General features: G+C 35.5%; 1 protein-coding gene and 2 long non-coding RNA genes across 3 annotated transcripts in view; 2 read left to right on the top strand and 1 right to left on the bottom strand.

Annotated features, from left to right (window-relative positions):
• Window positions 1-27,392, top strand: part of MYCBP2 (MYC binding protein 2) — a 282,438-nt gene that overhangs the window by 227,862 nt on the left and 27,184 nt on the right. The window contains exons 56-68 of the mRNA NM_015057.5: window positions 220-1,863; window positions 2,752-2,921; window positions 3,631-3,875; window positions 5,901-6,068; window positions 8,970-9,127; window positions 10,202-10,401; window positions 11,600-11,749; window positions 16,041-16,201; window positions 17,240-17,396; window positions 17,582-17,806; window positions 20,344-20,409; window positions 21,846-22,085; window positions 22,384-22,482. Of these exons, the coding sequence (NP_055872.4) occupies window positions 220-1,863; window positions 2,752-2,921; window positions 3,631-3,875; window positions 5,901-6,068; window positions 8,970-9,127; window positions 10,202-10,401; window positions 11,600-11,749; window positions 16,041-16,201; window positions 17,240-17,396; window positions 17,582-17,806; window positions 20,344-20,409; window positions 21,846-22,085; window positions 22,384-22,482 (3,683 nt within the window). The remainder of the gene's footprint in view (window positions 1-219; window positions 1,864-2,751; window positions 2,922-3,630; window positions 3,876-5,900; window positions 6,069-8,969; window positions 9,128-10,201; window positions 10,402-11,599; window positions 11,750-16,040; window positions 16,202-17,239; window positions 17,397-17,581; window positions 17,807-20,343; window positions 20,410-21,845; window positions 22,086-22,383; window positions 22,483-27,392) is intronic.
• MYCBP2-AS1 (MYCBP2 antisense RNA 1) lies at window positions 11,457-23,719 on the bottom strand. The gene is made up of 4 exons (NR_046716.1): window positions 23,649-23,719; window positions 22,300-22,417; window positions 16,121-16,223; window positions 11,457-11,681 (listed from the first exon to the last, which is right to left on the bottom strand). It is a non-coding gene; the product is annotated as an MYCBP2 antisense RNA 1 (long non-coding RNA).
• Window positions 18,043-18,722, top strand: MYCBP2-AS2 (MYCBP2 antisense RNA 2). Its single transcript, NR_170173.1, has 2 exons — window positions 18,043-18,319; window positions 18,572-18,722. It is a non-coding gene; the product is annotated as an MYCBP2 antisense RNA 2 (long non-coding RNA).

Here is a 27,392-nt window from a genome sequence, read left to right as displayed (position 1 = left end):
TCCATGAAAATAGTTTTTGGTGGTAATGTTGTGTAATGATGTGTAGAAATTTTATTAGAAATATTTCCCCCTTCTTTCCTTTATTCTTCAAGTATTTTAGTATGTATGACAAACAATATAAATTTTGTAGCTATGTTTTTTTATTTCAGTGTTTAGTGGCTAAATTATCAGTAAGTTATAATTTTATTAATAAGTTTCACTGTAAAATGGACCATACAGGTGATCGAGGAAACATCTCAACATCTTCTAAACCAGCCTCTACATCAGGAAAATCAGAGCTGTCCTCTAAACACAGCAGATCGCTTAAACCTGATGGACGTATGAGCCGGACTACTGCTGATCAGAAGAAGCCAAGGGGCACAGAAAGTTTATCTGCTAGTGAATCCCTCATCTTAAAATCTGATGCTGCAAAGTTGAGGTCAGATTCCCACAGTAGGTCATTATCCCCCAACCATAACACCTTGCAGACATTGAAATCTGATGGGAGGATGCCTTCTAGCTCCAGAGCTGAATCCCCAGGACCAGGTTCTCGGTTGTCATCTCCTAAGCCAAAGACTCTCCCAGCCAATAGGTCTAGCCCATCGGGTGCTAGTTCTCCACGCTCCTCCTCACCACATGATAAAAATCTACCTCAAAAAAGTACTGCTCCTGTTAAGACAAAGCTTGATCCTCCTCGGGAACGTTCTAAATCAGACTCTTACACACTTGATCCAGATACCCTCCGCAAGAAGAAAATGCCCCTCACAGAACCTTTGAGAGGACGGTCAACGTCACCAAAACCAAAATCAGTACCAAAGGATTCTACAGATTCCCCTGGATCTGAAAATAGAGCTCCCTCTCCCCATGTGGTACAGGAAAACCTCCACAGTGAGGTGGTCGAAGTCTGCACCTCAAGTACTTTAAAAACAAATAGTCTAACAGACAGCACCTGCGATGACAGCAGTGAATTTAAGAGTGTGGATGAAGGTTCAAATAAAGTTCATTTTAGCATTGGAAAAGCACCACTGAAAGATGAACAGGAAATGAGAGCATCTCCCAAAATAAGTCGAAAATGTGCTAATAGACACACCAGGCCCAAAAAAGAAAAATCGAGTTTTCTTTTCAAAGGAGATGGATCCAAGCCTTTAGAGCCAGCCAAGCAAGCCATGTCTCCTTCTGTGGCCGAATGTGCCAGAGCTGTGTTTGCTTCCTTCCTCTGGCATGAAGGCATAGTACATGATGCAATGGCTTGTTCTTCTTTCCTAAAGTTTCATCCTGAACTTTCCAAAGAACATGCTCCTATAAGGAGTAGTTTAAATAGCCAACAACCTACAGAGGAAAAAGAAACCAAGTTAAAAAATAGACATTCATTAGAAATATCATCTGCACTGAATATGTTTAATATTGCACCCCATGGACCAGATATATCTAAGATGGGTAGCATCAACAAAAACAAGGTATTGTCTATGCTTAAGGAACCACCTCTGCATGAAAAATGTGAGGATGGGAAAACCGAGACCACTTTTGAAATGTCCATGCATAACACAATGAAGTCTAAGTCTCCTCTTCCCTTAACTTTACAACATTTAGTGGCTTTTTGGGAAGACATCTCTTTGGCTACTATCAAAGCTGCTTCCCAGAATATGATTTTTCCAAGTCCTGGTTCCTGTGCAGTTCTTAAAAAGAAAGAGTGTGAGAAAGAGAATAAGAAGTCCAAAAAGGAAAAAAAGAAAAAAGAAAAGGCAGAAGTTAGGCCCAGGGGTAATTTGTTTGGAGAGATGGCCCAGCTGGCAGTAGGAGGACCAGAGAAAGATACCATCTGTGAACTGTGTGGGGAGTCACATCCATACCCGGTGACCTATCACATGAGACAAGCTCACCCAGGTAAATGATACTGTTGAATGTACGTATAAGTGCTTTTTTCTTTAATGAACCAGATCACTTTATTTGAGCTGTTCTATGAATTTTGTCAAAGGATAGGGAATTTATAGTATCTTAGAATGTCATTTTTAAAGTACATTATCAGTACAGGGTTTTGTGAAAAACAGATAAATTCTAATATTATGATGGCCAGGTCATTTAGTGCTATTTCACTTTCATGTAGCATGTTTTAAAAAATATTATGTGTTACCCAAAGGGTGTGCCATTAATGTGTCTGTCTCACACAGCAGAAACAGTGGCATGCCCATACACACAGGGCATCTCCTTTGATTTTACTATTTTCCTGTTCAGAATTGCAAATTAAATTAGATTAGATTGATTTCTATAGGCTTTTTCCTACGGAAGTGATATTGTTTTATCAGAAGACTGCATTTTCAGTAAATGTAATGATTTCTGTAACATTGACTAATATTCCAAATTCACCTAATACAAATTTGGTTAATTTTTTTCTTTGTCTACATATTATACCTCAAATGTCTTATGAATATGTGATTTCTGAAAATATATCATTGTTATAGAACTTTTATACTTGTATTGTCTAATTTTATTGACATAATTAAGTATATCTAAATATACCTATATTCTATCTCTCTTTTAATATGCCTGATTAGAAACTAAGTATCTCTCATATTTGGGGCATCATTTAATTGATTGCTTTTTGATCAAGTAAGCTATTTTTCTGATATAGTTAATAGCCTGAAAAATAAGATATCTACTTCAGTATTTTGCTTTCTTTGAGAAGGTAAATCTGTCATTAATGTATGAGTAATAAGGATCAAACTATTAAGGACACTTGGAGTGTTAAATATTTATTTTTGGTATTGTTTCAAGGTTGTGGCCGATATGCTGGTGGACAAGGTTACAATAGCATTGGGCATTTTTGTGGAGGATGGGCTGGTAACTGTGGTGATGGTGGCATAGGAGGAAGCACTTGGTATCTGGTATGTGATCGCTGTAGAGAAAAATACCTCCGCGAAAAACAGGCTGCTGCAAGGGAGAAGGTATTTTATTCCATTTGGAGCTATACTTTTAATGATATGGATACACTGTATAAAAATACCTTGTTATAATCTTACTACATCAGATAATTCCACATAGTTGATATTAAAAGATCAGCTTTTATAATGGAAATCATATACAAATTTAATATTTGTACTAAGTCAAATGCTTTTAATTTTAAAAATTAACTATATATTGGAATAACACTAGATAACCTCTGCTACATATGCCTTATTGACAAATATTTGTTGTGTAACTCTTTATTATTAATTGTCTGTTATTCTCTCTATGGAGAGCTTTCCTTTTCACCTTCTTTCTCTTTTCCTCTTTTTTTGGCTCCTTTGTTTTCCTATTCCATATCTACTCTCTCTTTTCTTTATTCACTCTAGTGGCACCTAACTAAAAAATTTCACTGAATACACGCACTGAAATGATTTACTTTTTAAAAAAATGAATTACATTTAGATTTAACTAGTTAGGTGTTAAATTTTTCTGAAGAAGGAAAGGAAGTATAGTTTGTGTTTGATACAAAATTGTCTTGGTCAGCCCAGGATGAATATGAAATGAATGTTGTTTTTTATAATCTTATTATCTTAAAATAGCTTTACAAGTGTTTAATAATTTTTATTGGAAACTCAAAATACTTAGCTTAAGAAACTAAGGATTTTAATGTAAGTCAGAAAAGATTAGTTTGATTTTTTTCTTCGCCAGGTCAAACAATCTAGGAGAAAACCAATGCAAGTCAAGACCCCTCGTGCCTTGCCCACCATGGAAGCTCACCAGGTGATTAAAGCCAATGCACTCTTCCTGCTGTCCCTGAGCAGTGCAGCAGAACCGAGCATTCTGTGTTACCATCCTGCAAAGCCATTCCAATCTCAGTTGCCCAGTGTAAAAGAAGGCATTTCTGAGGATCTTCCTGTGAAAATGCCTTGTCTCTACCTGCAGACATTAGCTAGGTAATAAAATTTTGCTGTTGTTTTTTAATCACCTTTGGATTAACAGCGATTGTTTATTGATATCTAGGGTAGTTCGGTATTTGACCTACACTTTATTAGCTATTGTGTACTATAAACAAACTTCCAGGCATTTATTTTTTGAGTTGCCTTGACTGACATAATGACTTTATGGTAATAGGTATTTAAAAAACTATAAAAATGCTTCATCAATTTGCATTGTATTAATACACAACATGTCTTAGAAAATAAGACTATAGCTATCTTTTACTCTTTGGTAGGCTGACTTCACTCTGTTAGTGCGAAATGCTGAAGTGTAAAGAAAGTGTGTTTCCTTAGCAGTCTTTTATTTCGTAAATTATTCATTCTGTTAGCATTTAAATGAATACCAACTGGGCACCTACCAGCCTTGTGCTAGGCCCTGAATGTATGAATATAACAAAATCCTGGCTTCTATGTACTCATACTCGGATGTCAAGTCAGACATGTTAGTGAAACATTTGAAATGCCATGTGAGGAGTGCTACAATAGAAGTATGTATGTAAGATGCTGTTAGAGCATAAAAGATGGAGAGTATCTGAATCTTCCCCAGGAAATCAGAAAAGGCTTCCCAGAGGGTCTGAGCCTTTAGTAGAGTCTCAAAGGATAAATAGAAATCTGTCAGGCAAGCGACAGGAAGAAAGCGACTCTTGGAAGAATAACCCAGGTGAGTAAAGACACAAATGAAATCTCATTACACATTTCAGGAATCACGGGTTGTTAAAGGACTGGCTACTGGAGGAAATATGTGAAAGCCCGTTCAAAGTGATTGGTTCACCCAAGTAATGTCGGGCTCTGTAGCCCAGGTTAAGATTGCATTTTATCCCATGAGCAGAGGAAACAGTGGAAGAATTTTAAACAGAGAAATACATGAACTGGTTTGCAATTAAAAAATCACTGTGGAATGTGGAAGCTAATGTGGAGACTAGATAAAAGTGCATTACTGGAGATAGAAACCTGTTAGTATTCTGTTTTCATATATTGGACCTCAGTGGTGCAGCCTGTACTTTCACACATCATGCACTGACACTCCAAAAGAGCCTTTCATATACCAAAACCAAATTTTTTTCATCAGCTGACAAATGAAGGTAATCTAGATATTGCCCACTGACATGGCTTGCCGACCAACAGTTCCATTTTGGAAATTGTCCTCTTTGTGTAGCAGAGTTGTATGGTTTTTAAAATTTTGTGCTTACTATTACAATAAAATGAATAAGCAACAAAAATGAAAATATCAGACTAAGTACATTTGAGACTGAGGTGGAAATCATCAGTATGCCAAAATACAATAGATCTTTAGTGTGAATCACACCACTCAGTGGACTTAGGTTAGCAACTATTTGTTCATTTTGAAAAGGAAAGAATCAAATTGTAAAACGTGAAAAATGCTAACACAGCATAATTATAGATTTTTTTCTTTTTAGCTGTCTGGGGAATGGGCACCCCTTCCACCCTGAACCACAGAAAATTTCATATATCTAATATTTTTCAAATATGATCTTATGTATGTTCCTACCCAAAAAAGTAACTGCTTGTATTTCAGTGGTCTGTGCAAGAAATAATAAGCATGAACCAAGGCAGTGATGATAGGGAATGAGAAGAGAGAATGGCTCTGAGAGGAAACCTAATATCATGGGCTTGAAAGATGATGATGATAGAGGGCTAAGCCTACTACAACACTGGAAATATTTTAGCTTAAGCAACTGGATGGTTGGTGGGCTTATTCACCAAAACACTGGAAGATGGAAAAGTTCTCAAAAGGAAAGAAACTGAGTTCAATTTTGGATTTGAAATGTTCGTGGTACCTGGAATGTTGATGAATAAAATTATCAGACTTTTATTTTCACCTACCTACATCTACGATTATTTTAATGCTTTGCCTTTAACTATGATTTACATGTGCTGCTTTTCCTGTTATGAAAGAGATTAAAAATGGAGAGGATCTGTATTGCCATCATGCTTTAAGTTATTGGGTTTGATTTAATGCAGGCATCATCATGAAAATTTTGTGGGCTATCAAGATGACAATCTATTCCAGGATGAAATGAGATATCTACGTTCAACATCTGTACCTGCCCCGTATATATCAGTAACTCCTGATGCAAGTCCTAATGTATTTGAAGAGCCAGAGAGCAATATGAAGTCTATGCCACCAAGGTATTTTAGTTCTCTCCTGTCTGTTGAATAGCTAGTGTTTGGTGGAAGAAAGACTTTGAACTAGAAAAGAGTCCTGTAGAAGTTCTTTAATACATCTGTGAGCCAGTTTTGCTAACTGCTGGAGCAGTAAGAAAAAGCATACATGTATGACTAAGGTAAGGTCCTTGATGGGAGAGGCAGACTAGTTGGAGAGAAGAGATCAACTAGTGAAGGAATTAAAGATTACATTATATGACATTACTTAATGCTGTAGTAAATCAGAGTAGGGAAGGGTTACTTTGAGTTTTCATGGGAGCAGTGGCATTGAAAATAAATCTTAAACTTCTTGGATTATTGTTTACAGTGCCTCCTAACTTAGGTATGGTAGTATCAGAGTAAAGAGCTTCTCGGAAAGCTGAATAGAAACTTGTTACAATAATGTAATACACAAGAAAATAGAGGCCAGGCGCTGTGGCTCACACCTGTAATCCCAGCACTTTGGGAGGCCAAGGCGGGTGGATCACCTGAGGTCAGGAGTTTGAGACCAGCCTGACCAACATGGTGAAACCCTGTCTTTACTAAAAATACAAAAAATTAGCCGAGCATGGTGACACACACCTGTAATCCCAGCTACTCGGGAGGCTGAGGCAGGAGAATTACTTGAACCTGGGAGGCAGAGGTTGCAGTGAGCTGAGATTGCACCACTGAACTCCAGCTTGAGGAAAAAAAAAAATAGAGTACCACTGAAACTTTTTTAGAGGACGAATGATGTGATAAAAATGCAAAGGTAGTCTCACAGTGACAATTGAGAAGCTGACATATGGATTAAAGAGATATATTTTGTAGGAAAAATAAGTGTGACTTGTTGACTAACTGGATAATGAAAAAGATAAGTTTAAGATGACATGAAGATTTCAGTCACGAATAACTGTGAACATGGTATCATTGGAAAGGAAGACATTTGCTGAATGAAAAGAGAATGTGCTTATTAAAAGAGCATGCCACTGTGTTACTACTATACAACTATAATTATAAACTAATATAATAAATACTTTAATGAGCGCAATGGGACATATATATCCAAATGAGGTTTTTTTTTTTTTTCATTAAAAATACATGCAACTTCTCCCCTCCCCAACTGTGTGGATTACTCGTCAGAATTTCTTTGAAGCTGCTCTTGACATTTTCTCCAGAGTGCAGTGCAACCTTTTATATCTTTAAAAGTGATAAAGTATTTCTAAAGGAGATACACTTTTTAAAAGAGTTAGAAACTGTTTTGAGGCTAGTCTGACAAGTGTGATTCTCATTGGGTTACTATTACCCCTTAGGATCAAAATCCAGGAGGCTGAGGCAAGAGGATGGCTTCAGCCTAGGATTTTGAGGTTACAGTGAGCTACGATTGTGTCACTGCACTTCAGCCTAGGTGACAGAGCAAGACCCCTTCTATTTAAAAAAAAAAAGTTGATGAATAAATGAATTCATTAAATCAGTGGTTCTCAATTGAGGGTGATATTTGCCTCTCTGTTGACATCTGGAAATATTTGGAAATAACTTTGTCACAACTGGGCTAGTTGAGTGGGCATCCTAGTGAGTTGAGGCCAGGGATGTTGCTAACCATCCTACAGGAGGCAAGACAGCCTAACAAGGAATTACCTGGCTCAGGGTAGCCATTCAATTAAAGATGTCATCTTTGCTTTCTTCTTTGGATTTTCTTGTGTTGCTTGAATTCTTTCACAAGCAATTTTTTTTTTTTTTTGGTAAAAAGTCACTTTTTAAATTTGTGTAATTTTTTTTAAGTTAGTAGAAAACTTCCTCTGAAAACAGAACAAATGTCTGTGCTTTATAGTAACACCATATATAAAGTGAATTAAGTTAATGTTTCCCTGTATTCTAGTCATTCTGGAACCAAGCAACCTATACTAACACCCAGGGACATTTACTGCCAATCAGTTATGTACAGTATTTATAGTCTATTCAAACAAGAATGTACATAAGCTTAGAGAAGTGGTGAGTAAAGAAAACACCTAGGCAGTTAGCCGTCTATTAGAAAATAGATAATTTTACCAAGGGACACAGGATTTCAAACCTGGCTTGAATGATGGAAAAAACTCCAGAACCAACGGTGAGCAAAAATATTCCAATTTGAATTCAGGTGACAGAAAAAGGAGCTCACGAAAAGAATAGTTTCTAAATTTGTTTTAGAGAAATAAGAAAGAGAAGGGATTTCTCTTTTTTTATAAAATGTGTCAATAAAGGAAATTGTATAGCTCTCTTAATAACTTTGTAAGTATTTTTAAATGTTGCTTTAATAAATAGAAAAGCTGTTAGTTTACTTAAGCCTGAATAAAACCATTAAGTTCTTTTATAGAGTGTAAATACAACACTGGTGCCAAAAATCAGTTTGTTACCTCTCATGACACCTTGATGCAGCCATCCTCCAAGGGCTTTGGGCAACATTTCCCAAGAGTGAGAAACCTCACAGAACACTGAAGACACCAAAAGAAAACTTTGGAACCAAATTTTGCTTCCTGTTTTATTAGGTTTTCATGTGTACATATCCATTTTCTTTCTATTTGGTGCACTTACGATTATATCTGACTGTTTTTCCTGAATATTATGATACATGAATTCCACCCCAGTGCTTTTGATTCTAAAAGGAGCTTGGAAACCTTTCTTCTTTTTCATTTAAAATACAAAGTAGATTTAAGAAAACCATAAGTTTTAAGGTACAATGCTGAAATCAGTCAAAATGTTACTGCATTTGAAAAGATCAAATTATGATTTAAAGAGAGATTATCAATTTGGCTTTGATTTTGTTTCTCCACATGAAATATTGAGTCACATATTTTGCATCATTATAAGTATAGTTACATTTCATTCAGCTCTTCTGAGTTTGTATCTGTTGCATTGTTCCATGTACAGTTTAGAAACCAGTCCCATAACTGATACTGATCTTGCAAAGAGAACTGTCTTCCAAAGATCATACTCAGTTGTTGCTTCCGAATATGATAAACAACACTCCATTTTACCTGCACGAGTTAAAGCTATTCCTAGAAGAAGAGTTAACAGTGGAGACACTGGTAAGTATGAGGATAAAAAAGAATATTGAGTGATCTGACTACTACAAATAAAAAAATTGTTTTATTTGCATATAATTTTTAAAATTTAATTTTTGAAGGAAAAGGCATGGGATAATTTCTAATGTGTGATTGACATTCCTTCTATATGACATAGCTATAAATGTGCATCTCTAAATTTTGCATCTTAGTTGAAGGGAAATCTGGAGATCATTCAGTGATTGTTCGAGAATAAATTGACCTTTACAATCTTACTTGTTAGGTATCTAAGCCAAATGTTACAACCATTATCCCTTCCACTAAACTTTTGTGGACCAGGAGTTCCAATGACGTACACATTCACAGTTATCTCTCCACCCCAACTGAAGCTTGATAACTCTTGGAGCTGCCATCATTCTAAGTAGATAATAAAACTTTGGGGATATAAATAGCCCTTAATCGATTTAAAAAAAAAAAAAAAACAGTTACATGATCTGGACCAGTTGGTATCAACAGCCCCAAATTGGAGCTGGGGATTCTACCTCAAGAATAATTTTAAAAACCCAAGAAGAACAGGGTAATATAGTGATCAATTATCAGAGAGATCACTTGCTAAAATGAAGATTTGGCCTAAAAATTATAGTCAGATGATTAAGTTATCTTACTGAAGACTTTTAAGAAAAACATTATTGAAGATTGTCCAGCAATTTATAGGTTCATTCAACAAATATTTTTGACCTCCTGTTAAGAAATGTTTCTTATAAAGCCATCTTTTAGAAAATGATGCAGATGAGATGTAGATTTCATTTAGAGAAAATATAAATCACTTAGCTTTTAGAGTGTTTTAGAAAAGGTGAACTTTAGATTCAGCTCTGATTCAAAACCCACCTCTACAACTTAATAGCTATATGACTTTCAGAGAGTAACATATTTAATCTTTCTGAACCTTGGTTTCCTCAGTAAAAGTTGAAATTGTTATGATTTGTGTCATGTTCAAAAAACCAATGACAAAGGCTTTAAGTGAATATATTAGATATTATTATCTTAAATATATATGCACTGCCTATGAAAATTAATAATTTTCTTTTTCTTTAATAGAAGTTGGTTCTTCCCTTTTGAGACATCCGTCTCCTGAGCTTTCTCGGCTAATCTCAGCCCACAGCTCTCTTTCTAAAGGAGAACGAAATTTCCAGTGGCCAGTTTTAGCTTTTGTTATACAACATCATGATCTAGAAGGTCTTGAAATAGCAATGAAACAGGCCCTAAGGAAATCTGCTTGTCGAGTTTTTGCTATGGAGGTATGAAGACATTAATGAAATTACTGATTCATTGATTATACAAATCATGTGATGATTCTATTTCACGATGCCACTTTTTTACCAACAGAAATTGTGTGAAATTAAAAGGCATTAGCCAATTAAAAGTATTAAGTGTTCCTATAAAAATCAGACTCTAAAGTTTATGAATATAAATGAATTTAGAATTTCATATTTAAGCACCCTAAAGAAATTTATTTCTGTATTGCTTTACTATTTGAATCTTGAGATTATCTTTTTTTTAAAAGCTTTTTATACTCAGAATGTCATTTTATTAGAATGAAATGACAGAGTAATCATGGAAAGAAGATAAGGAGTAGGGCTTTTGAGTGGTAAGTTGACCAGTAATAACTTCTCTGGGCCTTTGGTCTCTGGAAATAATAGGATTACTGTATATTACAGGCCTATATATAGTAAATCTGTGTTTTTATCAAATGTGATAAATAACCTACCACTTCATGGATGGGAATTATATGAATATATTTAAGTAAATGGTTGCTTGCCTAGAGCTTGAGATACACTTTGTGTTCATCCAGATGCAAGTTGGAAAAAATGTGCTTGAATAAATTAATATTAAAATGAATTTTCAAAGTAAAATGTGATTTGAAAAAATATTTTGGTATTGTATCTTATAAATTATTTTTCCTGTTTTTTTTAAATTAAAACCCCAAATTATTAACTGTTTCAAGTTCCGTGTGCTTTCAGTGAAATAAAGGTCAGATTTTCAAGGTGCCAAGCATAGTAGCCCATGCTTGTAATCCTAGCACTTTGGGAGGCGGAGGAGGGAGGATCACTTGAGCGCAAGAGTTTGAGACCAGCGTGGGCAACATGTGAGACCTCATTTCTACAAAAAAAAAGTTTTAAAATCAGCTGGGTGTGGTGGTACACACCTGTAGTCCCAGCTACTTGGGAGGCTGAGGTGGGAGGATCATTTGTGCCTGGGTGCTTGAGGCTGCAGTGAGCCATGATCACACCACTGTACTCCAACCTGGGTGACAGAGCGAGACACTGTCTCTTAAAAAGAAAAACAAATAGTAAAACTATAAGGCATTTTTTTTAATTAAAAAAGATTTTCTAGTATCTTTCTTTGAAGTCTTAATCCATGGAGGTACTTTATTTCTGAGTACTTTTTAAACTCATGTATTTTATTCTTGAACTCATTTAACCGTCATTTCTTCAGGCTTTCAACTGGCTTCTGTGTAATGTCATCCAAACCACTTCTCTCCATGATATTCTGTGGCATTTTGTGGCATCACTGACTCCTGCACCAGTGGAACCAGAGGAAGAAGAGGATGAAGAAAATAAAACAAGCAAAGAAAATTCAGAACAAGTAAATGAAATTTTTGTTTTGATTGTGCATATTTTTATAGAAACTGGTAGTATACCTTCAAATAGTCCAATAATTTGCATGAAATCATTCGCAGATCTAACTTGAAAGCAAAAAGAATATTTTAGTGCTATGGGCAAAGTATTAATAATGAGACCTGGATTTTATAGAAGGCAGCCTGTATAATGGAGAGAGCATTGAATTAGGGCACTAGGAGCCTGAGTTCAGCCTCATTTCTACCCTATTGTAGTTGTATGACTTGTAGGCCTCGGTTTCCATGTCTGTAAAATGAAAGTAATCTAGGTGACATTTATCTTATTCCCAGTCACTCTGAAATTATGTGAATGGCATTTTAGGTTAATTTCCAAGGATATCAAGCAACATTATCATAGTCAAATTCTTAAAACTCACAAACAAGACACCATGAGCAAGAACTAACAAAAACAATAGACAGTAGAAATAGACCCTCAACAATGGTTGTAATTATCTATGTAAATGTAGAATAATGTGTTAATATGCTTAAAGAAATAAAAGAGAAACTTTAAAATATGAGAAGAAATTGTAAGAAGAAATATGAAGTGATGAATTTGATAAAGAACTAAAGAAAACATAAATACTAATCTAAGTATAATTGATATTTTTAGTTTTGAGATTTTATAGCATGTCAGTGAAAAAATTGGCTAAATATAAGAGAATGATGGATTCGATAAAGAACTAAAGAAAATACGTAAAAATTAATCTAAGTATAATTGATATTTAAAAAACAATCAGTTGGACATTTTATAGCATGTCAGCAAACAAATTGGTTAAATATAAGAGACCTGTAGAAATTATCTAGACTTCAACACAGAAAAAGTAAATAAAAAATACAAGTTGCTAAGAGCAATGAAGGGCAAAATGATGTACAACTTACCTACTTGGAGTTTCAGAAGGAGAAGACAGAATGGAAGAGAGACAGTGTTTAAGAGTTAATACTTGAGAATTTCCCAGAATTGATTACAGATAACAACCCATTGAGTCAAGAAGCCCAGTAAACCCCAAGCAGAATAAATACAAATCATGGTGGACAAATTATAGTGAATCACCTGAACACCAAAAACAAAGAAAGAGATCTTTTAAGCAGCCACAGAAAAAAATATTAGCTTTCAAAAGAGGGACAGTGAGAATAATTGCTTAATTTTTGGTAGCAACATTACAAGTTAAAATACTGAGTTTGTTTAAAAGGCTGTCAGTTGGTTTTTTTCAACGTGCTGAAAGAAAATACTTGTTAACCCAGTTGAAGGGTCTTTGAAGAACAAGACCAAAGACATTTCCAGAATAAAAACTGGGAGAAATGGCCATGGAGTATCAATGAAGAGAAAAGAAAGTGTAAATATGAGGGCATATCTTAAAAAACATTGACTATGTAAAAAGTAATGATATGTCATGGTGATGTACAAAATGATAAAAGATCAATCCTGGATATGTATCTACCTAATACTGTAACCTTAAAAAAAGTAACAATTGACAGACTGCAAGGAAAAATAGGACAGTCTACAGTTACAATGTGAGATTGTCATATACCTGTAACAGCTATCTGTTCCTGCATAACTACCCCAGAACTCACTGGACTAAAACAGTTGTTTATTTGCTGACAGTCTGTGGGTTGGCAATTGCAGCAAGGCTCCACTGAGAGGAATGACTCTTTCCTGTTTTGGTTACATAGTGTGCTTCAAGTGGTACCCCCTGAGCTCTTTTATCCTCCAGAATGCTGGCCTAGGTTTGTTCAGATGCCAGAAGCATTCAAGAAAGAGAGCACAGAAGCTGCAAAGCCAAAATGGCGAACACTAAACTCATATGCCATGCTTCTGCCACCTTCCATTAGCTAGTATAATTCACAAGGCCGGTCAAATTCAAAGACTGAGAAATAAACTCCACCTGTTGATGGAAAGAGCGACAGAGAATTTGTGGCTGTTTTGTGTATAGTACCATAACACTCTTTTTAGTACTGGATAGGTCAGGCAGAGAAAAAGAATCAGAAAGTACACAGATTTGAATGATTGACAGTCTTGATAGAATATACAAAACATTGCATATAGTTGTTTACATTCTTTTCAGATACACACAAATGTCTATGGAAATTGACTGTTTACTGGACACATAAAGCAAGTTTTAACAAACTTGAAATAATTGGTTTTCTTCCCACCATGTCCTCAGTCTTTATTGCTAGTATATAAGAATTAGATAACAAAACAATAACAAGAAAAATATTTATAGGGAAATTAAGTAACGCTTCCAAATGAGTTGCATCAAAGAAGAATTATAACAGAAAATATTTTAAATGGAATGGCAATAATAGTACATCTCAAAACTTGTTGTTTGGCAGAGTTCTAGTTATAGTTACGATGAAACAGCCAGTGTCAGCATTAGTTCTTATAGTAAGTAACAAAAAGCTGGGCAAAATATTTAAAACAATTGTTCATAGGCTCTGAGGAGTGACCAGTACAGGGCTGTAATCCTTGAGAGAAGAAAAGGGCATGAGGTAAGCCCCACAATTGGGAAAAGAGCCCAAGCAGAGTACGTCAGTTGTGTTGGCAGAGATCAAAGTTTAGGACTGTAACTTTGGGATGTGGGAAGCAGGGCACTAGTGGTACAGAGCTGCAGAAAGGGAGTCTAAAATTTTTGCATAAAAATATCCCTAGGGTCCTGGCCACTCTTAGACTGGGCATGCAATTTCTCTGGAGGATCTAGCAGTGGAAATGAATTGTAAGCTGAGAACTGAACAGATTCTTAGCTTCAGAGCTGGGTTCTGAAGTTTTAGTCCAACCAGAGGTGGGGTGAGCGTGATGAATACTCCTGGCATGCCCTTGAAACCCCAGAAAGACCATACTCAAGGAATACAGACCATGCCTTAGGAGTAAGGGCAGTGCCTAAAATCAAGGGCAAAACTGAAATAACCCCAGTCTAACAAAGTCGAATGCCAAGCCTTGATGGAATCTAGATGGCCTGCTATCTCCCTGTAAGAACAAAACTACATTCTTTAGAAGACAATATAAACCAGAACTTCTATATCAGTAGAAGATAATATAAACCAGAACTTCTATATCAGTAATCAATATATGCACAAAGAAGGAGGCAAAAAGCAACCATCTTTTACTTAGCTCAGTGACATAGTTTAAAAAGTTTGATGGGCTTACATTGGTAGCAAGATGGAAGAACAAACATTCTTTGCTGTGGAGTAGCAGCTTCTTAGAGAATGGTTTGGTAAGATCTATCAAAATTCACATTAAAAATCATTCAGTAATTCCACTTTTATGAAGTTCTCCTTATCATATATGCATGTGTGAAAAGACAGATATACAAGTTGATTCATTGCAGAATGTTATATAAAAACAAAAGATTGGAAACAACCTAAATGACTGTTCTGAAGTGGACTGATGAAATAAACTATGGTATTTTTATTCATCAGAATACTATGCAGTGGGATAATATATGTTACATACATATCTAATAAGTAATAATCTCAAAGATAAATTATTGTTAAAAGAACACAGATCAGTTTGTTTCCAGTGCTGCCATTTGTGTAAATGAACAATATTTATAGACAGTCCAAGAAACTGGTAATAGAAATTGCCAGTGGGAGGGCATCTAGGTGGCTGGGCTGTAGAGACAGGGAGACTTTTTATGGTATTTTTTTATACCTCTTGAATATTTTATTATGATGTGTGTTATCTACTCAAAATAATAAAAAGTTATTCCATAGTTAATATTATTAATGGAGCCATCTGAGGGTTGTAATGAGAAATGAAATTCAACCCCTACTTCTCTTTCCTAGCTGTGGTCCATTTGCGTAGAAAGGAGCTTTTTTTTCTAATTCACATAAAAATGCTGTATGAGTTAGTGACCACCCCAACTTCTAAACATATGTTATTTTTTATACATAAACATACACACAAAACATACCTACATATATGTATGTGTATATATCCATACACATACATATATATGCACACACACTACACATACACATGCATACACATGTGGATTCACCCTACAGGTATCTTTGTGAGTACACTAGAATTGATACATTTATTCATTTGCATGCTGATTTTGCTTGTGACTAAACTTACAGCTTTTTTCCCTAAAATAATACAAGCATAATTAGTTAAAATTACTGTATCTTTCTGGGTACAATTTGGTTTTGTTGTTTGTATTTCTGTTACATGACCATTTTTTAAGTATACATAATAGTCTTTTGTGAAGAGGATTCCTTCCAGCACACAAACTGATAAACTTGTTTCAATTTCTGCCTTAGGAGAAAGATACAAGAGTATGTGAACATCCACTCTCAGACATAGTGATTGCCGGGGAAGCTGCTCATCCTTTACCACACACCTTTCACCGCTTGCTGCAGACCATCTCAGACCTTATGATGTCTCTCCCCAGCGGCAGTTCATTACAGCAAATGGCCCTGAGGTAATTTTGGTATCCACATATCCTAGGTACATTGGACAAGAGAGTTTATGGAATATTCAAAGTATGAAATGCTCCAAAAAAAGCTCTTTAAATAGTAAGATAGAATCCCTACATTATATAGATGGTGCCTCCCTCCTTACAGTCATAATTTTTAGAATGGTCCTTCCTCTTAGTTAACATTTGTTTGCCCTCCTGTAAAATGTGGCTAATGTAATTCTTAGTGCCCTAAATTATCACTGTAGCAATCTCCCTCACTTTCCCCAGTCTCCTACCTCAAATCACTTAAATGTCCCAAAAAGAGAGAGGGAAAATGAAATCTCAAAAACAAAAACCAAAATAGAGTTTTGACTTGAAAAGAATCTTGGGGAAAACAGAGCCTGGTTGTATGCACCCAGTCCTAAAAGCACCTTAAGGAGCATCACAGATGCTCAACAGATTCCAATTTCAATTTGAAATGTGTTGAGAATTTAGCATTGCTTTTACACTGTGAACCTTGTTACTAGATTCACATACTGGACTCACACTTATAAATAAATTCTCCTAATTAATGTATACAAGAAATAGATTGATGGAATGCTTGGGCTTCCCATGTTACTAATGATAAGACCAGTGGAAGAGAGATTTCTCTTTGTCCTCCTCACAAGATTTTTGAACTACAAGATAAACTATACCCTGATGAATTAGTATGGCATTGTAAGAGTAATAAATTTGAGGGGTTGTTGCAGTTGGTGTACCACTTGTTTACACAATAGATTCATTACCCTTTTTGCTTCTGTAGCCTTGATCTTCATCTGTCTAATTCTTTTATATTTAAAATGGGTCAACTTTCCTTAGAATTTACCTTGTTCCAAAGAAGTTACCTTTATTTCTCAAAAACAAAAACAATAGGAATGATTTTCTTCCCTGAATTTTTAAAATGTCTGTTACTAGAACATTAAAATTTCTTGAGATATTAGCTACAGAGTACTCATCTAAGAGTTCCTTAGATGTTCCTGGAAAATAATTATTTCGTATATTGCTTATATATCGCCTTTTTAGGTGCTGGAGTCTCAAATTCAAGCAATCTGATCACCAGTTCCTTCATCAGAGCAACGTCTTTCATCACATTAACAATATTTTGTCAAAGTCAGATGATGGCGATAGTGAAGAGAGTTTTAGCATCAGTATACAGTCTGGCTTTGAAGCTATGAGTCAGGTCAGTCATTTCAGTTATTATCCTGGTTGTCCTGTTAGTTAATAATACATCAAAGGAGAAACTGTAAGTTATTCATAATCAATTTGATCCTGTCTTCCATTATGTTTTATCTTATACCTGTTTGTTTTATCATCACGAAAGATTTGCTTTTAAGTATCATAAGTACTTATATTTGTTTCTGATAGGAATTATGCATAGTAATGTGCTTAAAGGACTTAACCAGCATTGTTGACATAAAAACTTCAAGCCGACCTGCCATGATTGGCAGTTTGACAGACGGCTCCACAGAAACCTTTTGGGAATCAGGAGATGAAGATAAAAACAAAACTAAGAACATCACCATCAACTGTGTAAAAGGAATCAATGCCCGCTATGTGTCTGTTCACGTGGACAATTCCCGAGATCTTGGGGTAAGAAAGCAAACGTGATTTACGGCTCTTTAGCTCTTTTCAGATCTTAGTATTCATGCACTTTCATTTCTGAATTTAGCAACAAGCTTTATCACCTGGAATTTCACCAACCAAACATCATTGCTATAATCCCCAAATAAATCTTAAGTCTAAAAACAAATTAATATGATTGGGAGCACTGTGGAATTCCATTTCTGAAAAGAGGTCTGATTACAAATATACCATGGCTACAGCTAAGCAAAATGAAAGTCTGCTCTACAATTTTCTGCTGCCATTCCCTTGGTTAAGATTTTCCCGTGACCTGGAAGTCCTCCCCTTAAACTCTGCTGATCAATTCTTCCAGGGTCTCTCAAACTCAGCAGAGAAATTCTAAGTAACTCCTCTAAAAAATTACTCTTTCCCTCTGCTGATTCTTTTTGTATTACTCTGGTGGCACTTAATAATAATCTTTGACCTATAGTGTAATCAGCTTTTTTTTTTTTTTCTGAGATGGAGTCTCCCTCTGTCACCCAGGCTGGAGTGCAGTGGCACAATCTTGGCTCACTGCAACCTTCGCCTCCAGGTTCAAACGATTCTCCTGCTTCAACCTCCTGAGTAGCTGGGATTACAAGCACACGCCACCATGCTTGGCTAATTTTTGTATTTTTAGTAGAGACAGGGTTTCACCATGTTGTCCAGGCCGGTCTCAAACCCCTGGCCTCAAGTGATCTGCCCACCTCAGCCTCCCAAAGTGCTAGGATTACAGACATGAGCCACTGCACCCAGCCTATCTTCAAGTGTCTACTTTGCCACAGTCCTCATGAAATAAAAAATAAGTTTCAGACTGTCCCAAATAATCATAATTTATATTCTCTTCAGCCTAGTTCATCCATGTGTTTCAACTGAATTAAATATTCTTTTATAAAAGGCACTAAACAAGAAAAAAGAGTCCTATTTGCTTGAGTATTAACAACCAAGAAAGAAATAGCACTAACTGCCAGACTGCCTTTCTTCTACCTCATTTAGAATTTTTTTCCTCAGAATGGATGTGGCTTGCTAGCAGATACAGTATTAATGGCTCTCCTTGAACCATTGCCTGGCTTCTCCTGTGCCATTTGCATATTTCCTTTCTCAGGAAGAGCCACAGTGGTAGGATTGGGTCTCAGATAACCTGGATGCAGGCCAGTCTGCAATCAGAGCAACCTCCAACTCCTGTACATCAGTGCAGGTTCTATTCCTCCCTGGTATTGAGTAAGTAAAAGAGGCTTAGCTAATATAATATGAGCTATTTCCTCCTCAGACCTAAGAATTTCCACTGGTGTAACTACTTTATCTTACTGGAAAGTCAAGTGTAACAAAGCAAAACATTTTTGTAGCTAGAACTCACTGTTCAGTGCAAAGCTATCTTTGGCTCATGGTACATTTTAAGCAAGGACATACTCTCCCTCAGAACAATGATTGCAATCAATTTAACACTTCTGTCTTTTCTAAGAGGAAATAATCATAACAGTATTCATTTTCAAAATTCCCAACATGTAAGCTGACATCTACTTTCCTTTTAACAGGCTTCCTCTATGTTATAGGTTGAGCATTCCAAATCTGAAAATCCAAAATGCTACAGAATCTGAAACTTTTTGAACACAGATATGACACTTAAAGGAAATGCATATTGGAGCATTTCTGGTTTTAGATATTCAGATTTGGGGTGCCCAGCCAGTAAGGATAATGCAAATAGAGTATTTCAAAATCCTAAAAAATCCCTAATCCAAAACACTTCTAGTCCCAAATATTTCTAATAAAGGATACTCAACCTGTATGTATGTTTTCCTTGAGTTATGTACCTCCATGTTCCTCAACCTGCCTACCACAGAGCCTTGTACACAGCATTTGTTGATTTGAGTTGTATCAGCCTACAGCACTCATATTATGCAGCTCTCCAAGGAATTAATGTTAATCTATTTCTTGATGTGCTTTGCGTAAAACTTATTCAGCCTTAAGATATTTGACACTAGTTTGAACATGTATTGAACTTGTACTGTTTGACATTTATTTTGTGTATTAATGTTGCCTTCCCTAGTTTGGCAAGTATCTTGGGGGATAGAACCTCCTCTCATATATCCTACTTCAAATCTGTAAGGAAGTCTGGGTACATTGTGACACTCATAAGTATTTGTTAGTTCAGTTACCTTCCCTCTTTATACTTCCAAAAGTAATGAAAATATAGCAACAAGAGTCTGACATAAGTGACAAGCAGATTTGTTGAAAGGCTTCATGAGGAAGGAATCTGAATATTTAGACTTTGAATAAGGAGAGGGAATGTCAAGCTGTGAGAGAGCACCTGGAGAGAGGCTGAAATGTGCAATTTAAGATGGAGTTTGTGAGAATGAGACTAAAGTTATAGGAACCGTGGTTAGTTGGAGGGATGGGGTGGGGTCAATCAGGAAGGACCATAAGAGACAGGCAGAAGAGTTGATGTGGTATTAGTAGGTCATGAGAAACCATTGTAAGTTCTGAAGCAGGAATATAGCATATTAACTATTGTGAATTGTCTATTTCAGAATAAAGTTACCTCAATGACCTTCTTAACTGGCAAAGCAGTAGAAGATTTGTGCAGAATAAAGCAGGTAATTGAAATTTTGTCATTAAATGTTTCGCTACCTAGAGAGAAATTTCTTCTTCTCAGCCTTCACTATTGAATTCCACCCTTGGCACACAACCAAAGTATTATAGGGAATTATCTATTTACAGAACACTAAATTGACAAGTGGTCCAAAACATAGGAATAGTAACCACCATCCCTGTGCTGGACATCTCACCTGTTTTCCTAAATGTTCCCCAGTCATGAGCAATTATATTGTACCTACAGTCTCCCTACCCTACTCCCCAACAAAGACTCAGGGTATCTTAAAATTTATCACAGATCCCATTCACACTTAAAACCTTACTTCACCTATACTTTGAGTTAATACAGGTTATTGTCCTCTGGCCTGAAAAATCTGTCTGTTATAACACTTATAACACTGCAGCTATATCCAGGTTGCAAGTCAGTTTAAACCAACTTTAGAAACAAGTTAAGTTTTATCTAGGCATGTGTCTGAGACTGTGCTCAAGCTCCCTTACTTGTATTCATGAAACTTTGTCAAATCTGTTCCTCACTGGCTACTTTATCTCACAAAAAGTTGGCCAATCGCTTGCTTGCTTGCTTGTTTTCAAATCACATTGAAGGAATCAATTAAGATTTTGGACTAAACATATAATAAATTTTGTTTAAATTGTTGAAGAATTTGGGAAAATAATCCTATTCAATGAGATTGTGTTTGTTTATACTTAATACCCCTTTTTGAAAATTGACATTATTAATTAAAATAATATCAACTTAATGTCTATTTAAATCACATAGAAATCGCCAGGTCATTTCTTGGTTATTAAATGCCATAAGAACAGTTTTTATTTTATGAAGGGAATAGTGTCAAGAACTATTTCACAGTATATTAACATTTAATCCTTGAAAAAAAAAGTCATATTCTCAATGAAAATTAGTGAAATAAGGAATCACAAGTGTGAAGTTACATATTATGTAATTTTTGTTCAAAAGTAAAACATATTAAGTAACTGCACTTTAAAGTCCCTTATCTTTAAATGGTACTTTAATGTGAGGATGCACAAAAAAAGAACCCTTTTCTGATCTTGTGAGGTTTCCACTTACAGATGATATAGATAAAGTACAGTCATATAAATTATTTGTAATTATTTCACTCATATAATTTTGCTCGGAAGCCATATCGTAGTCAGGCCTGGATTTTAATTCTCAATTCCACCATTTACTGAAAATCCCTTAACCTGTATTAACCTTAGTTTCTTCATCTGTGTAATAGCTACTATAAATAATATTACTTATCTTCACCTGGTTGAAATAAGAAAATCAGTGTGAAATAACCTCATAACCTTTACTCTGTGCAATTCTTTGTTATTTGAGCTTGCTGGTATCAATGCTAAGTCCAGCACAGTGATAAAAGTGATCCAGCTGAATCAGGTTCCTGCCTCTTTTCTACTCAACCAGGTTGATCTGGATTCCAGGCACATTGGCTGGGTAACAAGTGAACTTCCAGGAGGGGATAATCACATCATAAAAATTGAATTAAAAGGCCCAGAAAATACACTGAGAGTTCGACAAGTCAAAGTCCTGGGCTGGAAAGATGGTGAAAGCACAAAAATAGCTGGCCAGATTTCAGCCAGTGTGGCCCAGCAGAGGAACTGTGAAGCTGAGACTCTGCGAGTATTCAGACTGATTACGTCTCAAGTGAGTGTCCTTACAACATATTCTAGCACAGGATAATTGATGTAATATATTTTAAGAGTGTAACAAAATATTTTGTGAAACTTATTACAGAAATTTCTGGCTATAAATGTTGCCCATTTTTTCTTTTCATAGCCCTAAACACCTGAGTTCCATGTTGCATTTGTAATTAAGAAAAATAGTGGTGTATATTAGCAAGAGTAGCATATTATAAAACCTGCGGAATCAGCTAATGAGTCCTCTGGCCAATATAGTGTTAATGCCTGTCATTAATTCCTTCTCACATGCATATCTTCATCAGGTATTTGGAAAGCTCATCTCTGGAGATGCTGAACCTACACCAGAACAAGAGGAAAAAGCACTATTGTCATCACCTGAAGGAGAAGAAAAAGTATACAATGTATTTATTTGTATTCTAAAGATATTTATTTCCCTTTTTTATTCTTTTTTTCAGTGAAATAATTCATTTATTGCTGTATATTTTGATGGATATGTAATAACAGTTTTATGCAGTTCATATTTGTTCTTAGAAAGATGAAGGAACTATCTAAAAGAAATTCATTATTCATGTATAATCTAGCTAGTATTTTAAGTAACAGCAAATTTGCTCTATACCTTGGGTTTTTGCATTCATTTGTAATCATTTCTGTGCTATACCCCATCAGTTATCTTCTCCCTCCTCCATTGTCCCTGTCCTTCACAGTTCAGCTCAAAAGTACTGTCTTCTTCATGAAACTTTTTTACGATTTATCCTCTTCATGAAATTTGTTTATGATTTCCCCAAACAAAAGCAGTTTTCTCTCTGCTGGAGTTCATAATAATCTGTATGTGTCTCTTCTTCATTTTTCTCTTATGTTTATCTACATGGATGTTTTCTCTCTTCTACTGAACCATAGCTTCTTAAAGACCAAGTCCATGTCTAATTTGTCTTTGTATCCATCATGGTAGCATCACACACATGTTTAGTAAATTTTTATTAGAATAACTACTCTTTGTTACTGTTCTTGAAATTTCTTGCAAAAATACAGTTGCTTTACTTTTTCGGTCCTGACTAAAACACTATACCTAAAACTTTTGTACTTCATCCATTTGCAAAAAGAGAAGTCAACTCTGACTAGTCTCAATATTCTAGTGTCTTTAAATGCTACAAATAATCACCTTGGCAGCCCTTTGAAAGATAAATTTCAAGGATTTCCCTTGTCTCACCCTGTGTTTCTTAATACAGTAGTATCTAATCATTGTCCTGTTTTTGTTTGAGGTCTGAAAAAAATAAGATTTCTTAAATGCTGGTAACTTCTTTCAACATCTTTTGGAGATTTCATTTGAATGACTACAAGACTGTGTAACTACCTGTTAAGTCAATTGAATTTTAGCAGATGTCAACTCTGTACTAAACAATTGTGAGAATGGCAAGCCCTCAAAAAGCTTGCATTCTGTTCTTGGTTATGAACCCTCTGCATTCCCCTCACCCCCCCCAAAAAGAAATCAACAAAGATACTATATAGTATAAAAGCAAGTTATTAAATGTGTGAAAAAAATTGCAGATGACATTGGCTTTCAGAGTACCTTGAGATCATTGTGCCCTGGAGTGGTCAGAGAAGGCTTCTTAGGGGATATTGGACTGGAGTTAGATCTGAAAGAGAATGAAGGGATTCAAATGAGATTAGTAGAGAGAATGGGAGCAAGGACTGATCAGAGAGACTGGCCTAAGGGTGGGAGAGTGTATGCTGAGGAGTTAAGGTTGAGTAGGAAAGGTTATACTGTCATGTGTGTGCCCATGAAATAACATGATTTTTAAGAGAATCTTTTTTTAAGTTAGATTATTGAAGCACAATTTACATACAGAAATTCCTCATTTTAAACTGTATCATTCAATGAATTTTTACTTGTGTACACTAGTGAAATCATTATCACAATCAAGTTTGTTTTGTTTTGTTTTGCTTGAGACCGGGTCTCTCTCTGTCATCCAGGATAGAGTGCAGTGGTATGATCACGGCTCACTGCAACCTCAACCTCCCGGGCTCAATGGATCCTCCTGTCTCAGCCTCCCAAGTAGCTGGAACTACAGGTGCACGTCACCGTGCCCAGCTGATTTTAATATATCTGCAGAGATGTGGTTTTGCCATGTTGCCCAGGCTGGTCTCAGACTCCTGGGCTCAAGCAGTCTGCCAGCATTGGCCTCCCAAAGTGCTGAGATTACAGATATGAGCCACCATGCCCAGCCCACAACCAAGTTTTAAAACACATCACTCCCCAAATTTCTCTCATGTTCCTTTGCAGGCAATCCCCCAACCTCACACTTAGAGCCTAGCAACTACTGAACTATATTCTGCCAGTGTTGTGTTGCCTTTTCCTGGATGTCATATAAATGGAACCACTCAGAATGTAGCCTTTTTGTCTTGTTTCTTTCACTTTAGTGTAATGCTTTTGAGATTTATCCATGTTGTAGCATGTAGCCATGGTTCATTCTTTTGGTTGCTGAGAAGTGTTCCATTATATGGATTTACCGTAATTTGTTTATCCTTTCATTTTTTGATGGATATTTGGGTTGTTTCTGCTGTTTGGCTACTATTAGTAAAGCTGCTGTGAACACTCACATACAGATCTTTGCAGGTCTTTTACCAATTATGTGTTTTCAAATATTTTCTCCTAGTCTGTGTCTTATCTTTCAGAGAACAGAAGTTTTTAAGTTTGATAAAGTCCAGTTTTTTCTTGTTTTTTTGATTCATGATTTTTATGTATGGTCTAGAACCCAAGGTCACACAGATATTCTCTTCTTTTCCTTTAGAAATGTTATAGTTTTAGTTCTTTTCTTTAGAACTGTATACATTTTAATTTTTATGTGCAGTGTAAGAATTGAGGCTTATCTTTTGCATATAGATGTTCAATTGTTCTACTACGATTCATTGAGAAGACTATCATTTATCAATAGTCAATTTACCATAAATGGTAGGTCTGTTTCTGGACTCTATTCTGCTCCATTGATCCATCAAAGTGTCTTACTTACTGTAGCTTTATAAAAAGTCTTGATATCAGGTTCTAACTTTGTTCTTTATCTAAGTTATTTTGGCTATTCTAGATCTCTTGCATTTCCATATAAAGCTTAGAATCAGCTTGACCGTTTCTTTAAAAAAAAAAGGGGGGGGGGCGGTGGGGATGGAATTTTGACTGGAATTAACACCAAATTGATAGTTTAGGGAGAATCGCCATGTCAATAATATTGAGTCTTCGTATCTGTGAACATGATATGTATCAGGGGTTTTCTTACATCTGTTTAAAATTTCTCTCAGCAGTGTTTTGTAATTCATTGTACACATCTTGTACATATTTTATTAAATTTATTCCTAAACATTTAACATTTGTAAAGCTATTGTAAATGGTATTTTTTATTTCACTTTCCAATTGTTCATTTCTAGTGTATAAAAATAGAATTGACTTTTGTATATTAGATTTCTACCCTGTGATCTTAAATTCACTTACTAATTTCAGAAACTTTTTATAGACTCTTTGGGGTTTTCTTAGATAATCATGTAGTCTTCAATAAATTTGGGTTTTTTCCTTTCTAAACTATATGCCTTAAATTTCTTTTCTTATATTATTGTGTTATTGCATTGATTAAGCCCTTAAGCGCCATGCTGAATAGAAGTAATGAGAACAGATAGCTCTGACTTGTTCTGGATCTTGAAAAGAAAGTATAAACCATTCATTATTAAGTGTGATGTGAACTGTAGATTTTTTGGGGGTGAATCTTTTTAATAAGATTGGAGAATGTTTTCTTCTATTCCTAGTTTGCTGAGAATTTCTATCAGAATGGATTCTTTTTTAAGAGACCTGGTCTTAACTCTGTCACCCAGACAAGAGCACAGTGGTACCTTTATATGTTTCTCTTTCTTCATTTCTTTTATTCCGTAAGATAATCCATATATTGCTATGCATTTTAGTCAACATGTGATACTAGCTTGTATACAGTTCATTTTCCTTCAGTGAAAAAAAAAACTAGGGGATGGTAGCTACATGATATAGTGCTTCTTTTAGAAGTAATAAAAATGCTGTAATATTGACTGACGACGATAGTTGCACATATCTGAATGTACTAAAAACCATTGAATTCTATGCTTTAAACAGATGAATAGCATGGTATGTGAACTATATCTCAATAAAGATGTTTTTAAAAAGCAAAAATAAATGATGAAAGAGGTAAACAAGATGAAAGAACTATCTAAAAGAGACTCATATATAATCTAACTAGTACTTAAGTAGCAAAATAAATGCTCTATTCTAAAAATTCACTTTCTTTAATAGATAACAGAGCTGTTTCAGTTATCTGTTTCTTTTTGGGTAAGCTTTAGTAGTTCTGACACTCAAGCAATTTGTCCATTTCATCTAAGTTTCTGGATTTATTGCCATAAGTTGTTCATAATATACCCTTATGTCTTTTTAATATCTGTAGAACCTGTAGTGATGTGTCTTGGTGATTTGTGTCTTCATTCTTTTTTTCTGAAATAGTTTCTCTAAAGATTCATCAGTTTGATCTCTTCAGAGAACTAGCTTTTTGTTTCATTGATTTTCCTCTATTTTTGCTTCTTTTAATAATCACAACTTTATTTCTTTCCCTATGTTTGCCTTGTATTCATTTGTTCATCTTTTTCTGACTTCTTAAGGTCCAAGATCAGATCGTAGACTCCAAGACCTTTCTTTTCTCATCTAAGTATTTAATGCTATTATTTTCTTCTAAGCACTACATTAGCTGCATTTCACAAATTTGGGGTATTCTGTTTTTATTTTCATTCAATTCACAATGTTTTCTTAGTTTTCTTATTCCCATTTGATTTCTTTTTTTTTTTTTTTTTCTTTTTTTTTGAAATGGAGTCTTGCCCTGTCGCCCAGGCTGGAGTGCAGTGGTGCAATCTCGGCTCACTGCAAGCTCTGACTCCTGGGTTCACGCCATTCTCCTGCCTCAGCCTCCCAAGTAGCTGGGAGTACAGGCGCCCGCCACCATGCCCAGCTAATTTTTTGTATTTTTTTTAGTAGAGATGGGGTTTCACCACGTTAGCCAGGATGGTCTCGATCTCCTGACCTCGTGATCCACCCACCTCGGCCTCCCAAAGTGCTGGGATTACAGGCGTGAGCCACTGTATCCGGCCCCATTTTGATTTCTTCTTTGACCCTTGGGTAATTTAGAAGCACCTTGTTTAATTCCCAAATATTTGGGAATTTTCCTGTTAGCTTTATATTATTAATTTCTGGTTCAGTTTCATTGTGGTCAAACTGTATTGTATACTTCGTATAATTTCAGTCCTTTTAAAATTG

Source organism: Homo sapiens, chromosome 13, assembly GCF_000001405.40.
Source record: "Homo sapiens chromosome 13, GRCh38.p14 Primary Assembly".
NCBI classification, from domain to species: domain Eukaryota; kingdom Metazoa; phylum Chordata; class Mammalia; order Primates; family Hominidae; genus Homo; species Homo sapiens.
This window is presented reverse-complemented; position numbering and strand designations above follow the sequence as displayed.